General features: G+C 41.9%; 1 annotated feature.

Moving 5' to 3' along the window:
- Positions 4,392-4,686: an enhancer, noted in NCBI's record as "tiled region #1983; K562 Activating non-DNase unmatched - State 1:Tss". NCBI's record gives its function as "activates a minimal TATA promoter and a strong SV40 promoter by Sharpr-MPRA in K562 cells {active_cell/tissue: K562}" and the evidence as "EXISTENCE:reporter gene assay evidence [ECO:0000049][PMID:27701403]".

Here is an 8,679-nt window from a genome sequence, read left to right on the forward strand (position 1 = left end):
TACCAGAGGTACAAGGGGGAGCTGATACCATTCCCTCTGAAACTATTCCAATCAGTAGAAAAAGAGGGAATCCTCCCTAACTATTTTATGAGGTCAGCATCATCCTGATACCAAAGCCTGGCAGAGACACAACAGAAAAAGACAATTTTAGACCAATATCCTTGATGAACATTGATGCAAAATCCTCAATAAAATACAGGCAAACTGAATCCAGCAGCATATCAAAAAGCTTATCAACCATGATCAAGTGGGCTTCATCCCTGGGATGCAAGGCTGGTTCAACATAGGCAAATCAGTAAACGTAATCCAGCATATAAACAGAACCAACGAGAAAAACCACATGATTATCTCAATAGATGCAGAAAAGTCCTTTGACAAATTTCAACAGCACTTCATGCTAAAAACTCTCAATAAATTAGGTATTGATGGGATGTATTTCAAAATAATAAGAGCTATCTATGACAAACCCACAGCCAATATCATACTGAATGGGCAAAAACTGGAAGCATTCCCTTTGAAAACTGGCACAAGACAGGGATGCCCTCTCTCACCACTCTTATTCAACATAGTGTTGGAAGTTCTGGCCGGGGCAATCAGGCAGGAGAAGGAAATAAAGGGTATTCAATAAGGAAAAGAGGAAATCAAATTGTCCCTGTTTGCAGATGACATGATTATACATCTAGAAAACCCCATCGTCACAGCCCAAAATCTCCTTAAGCTGATAGGCAACTTCAGCAAAGTCTCAGGATACACAATCAATGTGCAAAAATCACAAGCATTCTTAAACACCAATAACAGACAAATAGAGAGCCAAATCATGCATGAACTCCCATTCACAATTGCCTCAAAGAGAATAAAATACCTAGGAATCCAACTTACAAGGGATGTGAAGGACCTCTTCAAGGAGAACCACAAACCACTGCTCAAGGAAATAAAAGAGGATACAAACAAATGGAAGTACATTCCATGCTTGTGGGTAGGAAAAATCAATATCGTGAAAATGGCCATACTGCCCAAGGTAATTTATAGATTTAATGCCATCCCCATCAAGCTACCAATGACTTTCTTCACAGAATTGGAAAAAACTACTTTAAAGTTCATATGGAACCAAAAAAGAACCAACATTGCCAAGTCAATCCTAAACCAAAAGAACAAAGCTGGAGGCATCATGCTACCTGACTTCAAACTATACTACAAGGCTACAGTCACCAAAACAGCATGGTACTGGTACCAAAACAGAGATATAGACCAATGGAACACAACAGAGCCCTCAGAAATAATGCTGCATATCTACAACTATCTGATCTTTGACAAACCTGACAAAAACAAGCAATGGGGAAAGGATTCCCTATTTAATAAATGGTGCTGGGAAAACTGGCTAGCCATATGTAGAAAGCTGAAACTGGATCACTTCCTTACACTTTATACAAAAATTAATTCAAGATGGATTAAAGACTTAAATGTTAGACCTGAAACCATAAAAACCCTAGAAGAAAACCTAGGCAATATCATTCAGGACATAGGCATGGGCAAGGACTTCATGTCTAAAACACCAAAAGCAATGGCAACAAAAGCCAAACTTGACAAATGGGATCTAATTAAACTAAAGAGCTTCTGCACAGCAAAAGAAACTACCATCAGAGTGAACAGGCAACCTACAGAATGGGAGAAAATTTTTGCAATCTACTCATCTGACAAAGGGCTAATATCCAGAATCTACAATCAACTCCAACAAATTTACAAGAAAAAAACAAACAACCCCATCAAAAATTGGGCAAAGGATATGAACAGACACTTCTCAAAAGAAGACATTTATGCAGCCAAAAGACACATGAAAAAATGCTCATCATCACTGGCCATCAGAGAAATGCAAATCAAAACCACAATGAGATATCATCTCACATCAATTAGAATGGCGATCATTAAAAAGTCAGGAAACAGGTGCTGGAGAGGATGTGGAGAAATAGGAACACTTTTACACTGTTGGTGGGACTGTAAACTGGTTCAACCATTGTGGAAGTCAGTGTGGCGATTCCTCAGGGATCTAGAACTGGAGATACCATTTGACCCAGCCATCCCATTACTGGGTATATACCCAAAGGATTATAAATCATGCTGCTATAAAGACACATGCAAACGTATGTTTATTGCAGCACTATTCACAATAGCAAAGACTTGGAACCAACCCAAATGTCCATCAATGATAGACTGGATTAAGAAAATGTGGCACATATACACCATGGAATACTATGCAGCCATAAAAAATGATGAGTTCATGTCCTTTGTAGGAACATGGATGAAGCTGGAAGCCATCATTCTCAGCAAACTATCGCAAAGATGAAAAACCAAACACTGCATGTTCTCATTCATAGGTGGGAATTGAACAATGAGAACACATGGACACAGGAAGGGGATCATCACACACCAGGGCCTGTTGTGGGGTCAGGGGAGGGGGGAAGGATAGCATTAGGAGATATACCTAATGTTAAATGACGAATTAATGGGTGCAGCACACCAACATGGCACATGTATACATATGTAACTAACCTGCACATTGTGCACATGTACCCTAAAACTTAAAGAATTAAAAAAAAAAAAGACAAAAAACAAAAAAAAAAGTTTTTTTGTTTTGTGATTTTTTTTTTTTTTTTAAGATGGAATCTCACTCTGTTGCCCAGGCTGGAGTACAGTGGAGTGATCTCTGCTCACTGCAACCTCCGTTTTCAAATAGAAAGAGAAATACCTTTCTAGCAATTCTCCTGACTCAGCCTCCTAAGTAGCTGAGATTACAGGCACCCACCACTACGCCCAGCTAATTTTTTTGTATTTTTAGTAGTGATGGGGTTTCACCATGTTGGCCAGGCTGATCTCGAACTCCTGGCCTTGTGATTTGCTTGCCTCAGCCTCCCAAAGTGCCTGGATTACAGGCATGAGCCACTGTCCCTGGCTGTATTAAGGTCTTACATGTAAAACCCCAAAACATAAAAACCCTAGAAGAAAACCTAGGCAATACCATTCAGGACAGAAGCATGGGCAAAGACTTCATGACTAAAACACCGAAAGCAGTTGCAAAGAAAGCAAAATTGACAAATGAGATCTAGTTAAACTAAAGAGCTTCTGCACAGCAAAAGAAGCTATCATCTGAGTGAACAGACAACCTACTGAATGGGAGAAAATTTTTGCAATCTATCCATCTGACGAAGGTCTTATATCCAAACATAAACAAATTCACAAGAAAAAAAAAAAACAAACAAACACCATCAGAAAGTGGACAAGGGATATGAACAGACTTTTCTGAAAAGAAGACATTTGGCTGGGCGAGGTGGCTCAGGCCTGTAATCCCAGCATTTTGGGAGGTCGAGGCAGGAGGATCATGAGACCAGCCTGGCCAACATAGTGAAACCTCTTCTCTACTAGAAATACAAAAAACTAGCTGGGCCTTTTGGTGTGCCCCTGTAATCCCAGCTTCTTGGGAGGCTGAGGCAGGAGAAACACTTGAAACTGGGAAGTGGATATTGCAGTGAGCCGAGATCCTGCCACTACACTGCACCCTGGCTAACAGAGCAAGACTTAGTCTCAAAAATTAAAATAAATAAATAAATAAATAAGACATTTATGCGACCAAAAAACATAAACCTCATTATCACTGGTCGTTAGAGAAATGCAAATCAAAACCACAATGAGATACCATCTCATGCCAGTTAGAATGGCAATTATTAAAAAGTCAGGAACCAACAGATGCTGGTGAAGCTGTGGAGAAATAGATATGCTTTTACACTGTTGGTGGGAGGGTAAATTAGTTCAACCATTGTGGAAGACAGTGTGACAATTTCTCAAGGATCTAGAACCAGAAATATCATTTGACCCAGCAATCCCATTACTGGGTATATACTCAAAGCATTATAAATCATTCTACTATAAAGACACATGCACACGTATGTTTATTGCAGCCCTGTTTACAATAGCAAAGAATTGGAACCAACCCTAATGCCCATCAGTGATAGACTGGAGAAAGAAAATGAGGCACATATACACCATAGAATATTATGCAGCCATAAAAAAGGATGAGTTCATGTCTTTTGCAGGGACTTGAATGAAGCTGGAAACCATCATCCTCAGCAAACTAACACAGGAACAGGAAAACAAACACCACATGTTCTCATTCATAAAAGGAAGTTGAACAATGAGAACACATAGACACAAGGAGGGAAACATCACACACTGGGGCCTGTCAGAGAATGGGGGTCAAGGAGAGAGAGAGCGTTAGGAGAAATAACTAATGCATGTGAGGCTTAAAACCTAGATGGCGGGTTGATAGGCGCAGCAGCCGGGCAGGGCGGCTCACGCCTGTAATCCCAGCACTTTAGGATGTGGAGGCGGGCGGATCACCTGAAGTCGGGAGTTCAAGATAGGTGCCGCAAACCCCCATGGCACATGTAAACCTATGGAACAAACCTGCACGTTCTGCACATGTATCCCAGAACTTAAAGTTTTTTTTTAAAAAAGGGCACTAAGGCTGAGGGGGAGTGGCGGTGGGGGGGGAGTGGGTGGGCCCTGGAGCTTTATGCAATCGGTGGCGGTGGCGTGGGAACAGCCCAATCAGGCACGCAGTTGGAGAGGAAGGAAGGGCGTGGCTTCCAGTGTTTGGCGGGAACTTTTTCTCTCCCTGGCGCCAGAACTTGGGATCCATCTCTACTCTTCCACCTTCTCCATGTTGGGAGCTCCATGGGGCCTTCCTCACAATCTCTTTTGCCCTGTAATCTGAAGGTACTTGGGGACGCATAGCTAAGATACCAGAACATCCTGGAAGCTGGGAAATGGTGAGTAAGGGGGTTCGGCACCCCGAGAGAAGAGAGCAGGCTGTGAAACCAGCAGGACCGGCCTCCCCACAGTCATCTCCAAGTCTCTGGCGCAGCTTGGCCCTCAGTCCCCTGTGCCTGCAAGATGGTGGCTGGGCCAGCAGCAGGGACCCCCGTGTCCGGCCTCATGCCCTCCGGTCCCGTCCCTGCGTGGCGTCCTGCTGTGCGCCCACAGTGCGAGTATTCCCCAGATTGTTCGGGGATGCCAGGTGGGTCATCAGGGCAGAACCCCCACTCGGTGTGTGCGTCGGAGGAGCTGCAGCCCGGGGCGTCCCCAGTCTCTCTTGTTAAAAATAAAAGGGGATTCCATGTTAAAACGTTAACCACTTTATTTGAGCAAACAGTGATTGGTGAAATGGAAAGCACCCAGCCATGATTTGTGGTCCACCCGAGGGGCATGAAGGAAAGGCTTTTACAAGGTGCATAAGAAAGCAACCCAATTTCAAGAAATGGTTAGAGTTGGCAGGGCACGGTGGCTCACACCTGTAATCCCAGCACTTTGGGAGGCCGAGGTGGCCAGACCACCTGAGATCGGGAGTTCAGACCAGCCTGACCAACATGGTGAAACCCTGTCTCTACTAAAAATACAAAATTAGCCGGGCGTGGTGGCGCATGCCTGTAATCCCAGCTACTCGGGAGGCTGAGGCAGGAGAATCAGTTGAACCTGGAGGGTGGAGATTGCGGTGAGCCGAGATCACGCCATTGGACTCCAGCCTGGGCAACAAGAGTGAAACTCTGTCTCAAAAAAAAAATAAAAAATGGGCTAAAATACATGAACTAAATGATTTCCAATAGCTCCTGCAGCTTTGCCAAGTCCATGTTAAAAAAATTACATGAATGGGAACTGACGCGGTGGCTCACTCCTGTAATCCCAGCACTTTGGGAAGCTGAGGCGGGCGGATCAAGAGGTCAGAAGATCGAGACCATCCTGGCTAACACGATGAAACCAAAATACAAAAAATACCAAAAATACAAAAAATTAGCCATGCATGGTGGCAGGCGCTTGCAGCCCCAGCTACTCCGGAGGTTGAGGCAGGAGAATAGAGTCAACACAGGAAGTGGAGATTGCAGTGAGCCAAGATTGGGCCACTGCACTCCAGCCTGGGCAACAGAGTGAGACTCCATCTCAAAAAAAAAAAAAAAAACTACATGTATGGATTTTTTTCCTGACTCTTAATTTTATTCCATTAATGTGTATGTATTGACCCCCTGTTCTACAACTTTGCAGAATTTGATTATTAATGTTAACAGCTTCATTATTACTGAGGATTTTAATTATATATATAAAATTATAACATCTATATGTAGAAATAAGCTTATTTCTTTTCCAATTGGAGTGTTTCTTTTCTTGTATTGCTCAATTATTCTGACCTGATTTGTATTACAATTTTGATCAGAAGTGATAAACACAACTATCTTTGTCTTGTTCCTGATCTTAAGGAGAAAGTTTTTAGTCTTTCACCATTGCATGTAGCGGTAGTTTTGAGTTTCTTATATGTACCTTTTTTATGTTCAGGAAGTTTTAGTCTATATCTAGTTTACTAGGTGCTCTTATAAAAGTGTTTTGGATTATTTCAAATTTTTTCTCTATCACTTGAGGTGATCACGTTTTTTTCTAAAATTCATTCTATTGAGTTGGTATATTGCATTGACTAATTGCAATTGTTAGAGTGAGAAAAATTGGAGTTACAACTTTTAATGTTTAAAACAATTCATCAGTGAAGCCATCTGATTCTGGACTTTTCTTGTTAGTATATTTTTGATAACGTATGCAGTCTTTTGCTAGTTACAGGTTGTATTAGACTTATTCAGAGAAATAGAAGCAATAGAATAAATATCTACATCTATGTCTCTGTGTGTGTGTATTCATATATATGTGTGTGTGTGTGTGTGTGTGTGTGTGTGTGAGAGTGTGTGTGTTAATATATGGGACAGAGCCCTTTAGAGTTGTCATGGCTCTGTCTGCTCAGGGGGACTTTCTCAGCCATTTCTGGGCTGGTTTGGAGAACCCTCTGTTCTTCCACTCACCTCATTTCAATGCTGGCCCTTGTTGGCAACAGCAAGCTTCTGCCCCACACCAAAGGAAACAGAGTGTTACCCCATTAATACGTTTTTGCCAATCTCCTGTGTGGAGCTCTGCAAAGATAGTAACTGGCAGCCAGATATGGAAGCCTCAGAGCTATTTCTGGCCATCACTGCTGCTCCTTATACACCATGCAACTTTCTGCTCGCCAGGTGAGGCATAGAATTATGTCTATACAGACCTTCAGCCTTGGAAGTCACTAGATAACAGCTCAAGGGCTCAGAACAATCAGTTGAGGTAGATGGGTACCCACAGCAGCACTTGCCTTCCGACTTTGCCAGCCATGATCTGGTGTGTAAACATAATGAGCCACTAGTATTCTAACATCCCAACAATCTGCTCCTGCTCAGAATGAGCCAGCCTCATATAGCATTCCCCTATACACAAAATTTGACATTACATATTTATCCTTTTGTATTTGGCTTATTTTACATAGTATAATGTCTTCAAGGTGCATCCATGTTGTAGCATGTATCAGCATTGCATTTTTTTTTTGAGATGGAGTCTCTCTTTTGTCACCCAGACTGGAGTGCACAGAAATGCAATCATGACTCACTGCTGCCTCAGCCTCCCCAGGCTCAAGTGATCCTTCTGACTCAGATGGACCTCCCCTGTGGCTGGGACTGTAGGCACACACCATCAAGGCCAGCAAATTTTTGTACTATTTGTAGAGATGGTATTTTGCTATGTTGCTCAGGCTGGTCTCAAATTGTCAGGCTCAAGAGATCCTCTCATCTTTGCTTCCCAACATTCTGAGATTATAAGCATGAGCCACCATACCCGGCAGCATTGCATTGATTTTAAGGCTAAATAATATTCTGTTGTGTGGTGTCTATACCACATTTTCTTTATCTCTTTATCTCTTAGAAGATATCTGGATTTGTTTTTACATTTTGTACTGTAAATGATGTTGCTATAAAAATTGGTGTGAAAGTATCAGTGCATAAGTGAATAAAATTTAAAAAGCTGAACACATCTCTGCATGCAGTTCTTAGATTGAATAACAGAGGCCAGGCATGGTGGCTCACACCTGTAATCCCAAAACTTTGGGAGGCTGAGGCGGGCAAATCACTTAAGCTCAGGAGTTCAAGACCAGCCCGGGCAACATGGTGAAACCCCCTTTCTACTAAAAATATAAAAATTAGCTGGGCATGGTGATACATCCTTGTAGTCCCAGCTATTCGGGAGACTGAGGGACGAGAATCGCTTAAGACCCAGAGGCCCAGGTTGCAGCTTAAGTCCTTGCGTTTAATTATTTTGGATACACCTTTAGTTGAGACATATGGAAGTGTTCCACCTGCTGCTGAAACATATGGTAATTATATATAGAACTTTCTGATAAACTGCCAAACTATTGGTCACAGTCTATAAACCATTTTATATTCTCACCAGCCATGCACCAGGGTTCCACTTCCCCTACATACTAGCCAGTACTTTTTCATTTTTGTTGTTTTGGTTTTTATATAGCCACCTTAATAGATGTAATGTGGTATCTTATTATGGTTTTGATGTGCATGTCATGACTGGTGATGCTGAGCATTTTTCTGTAGACTTATTGACTCAATATAGATTCAAGTCCTCTTCCTTTTTATAAATGCTGTTGTTGTTTTGTTTTGTTATTGAGTCTTAGAAGTTCTTTATATATTCTTCTTATTATATTATACCTTATGTACCTAGTCAGATACATGATTTTCAAATCTTTTCTCCCATTTGCTGGTTGTCTTTTCACTCTGTTGT

This window comes from Homo sapiens, chromosome 12 (genome assembly GCF_000001405.40).
Source record: "Homo sapiens chromosome 12, GRCh38.p14 Primary Assembly".
Classification (NCBI taxonomy): Eukaryota; Metazoa; Chordata; class Mammalia; order Primates; family Hominidae; genus Homo; species Homo sapiens.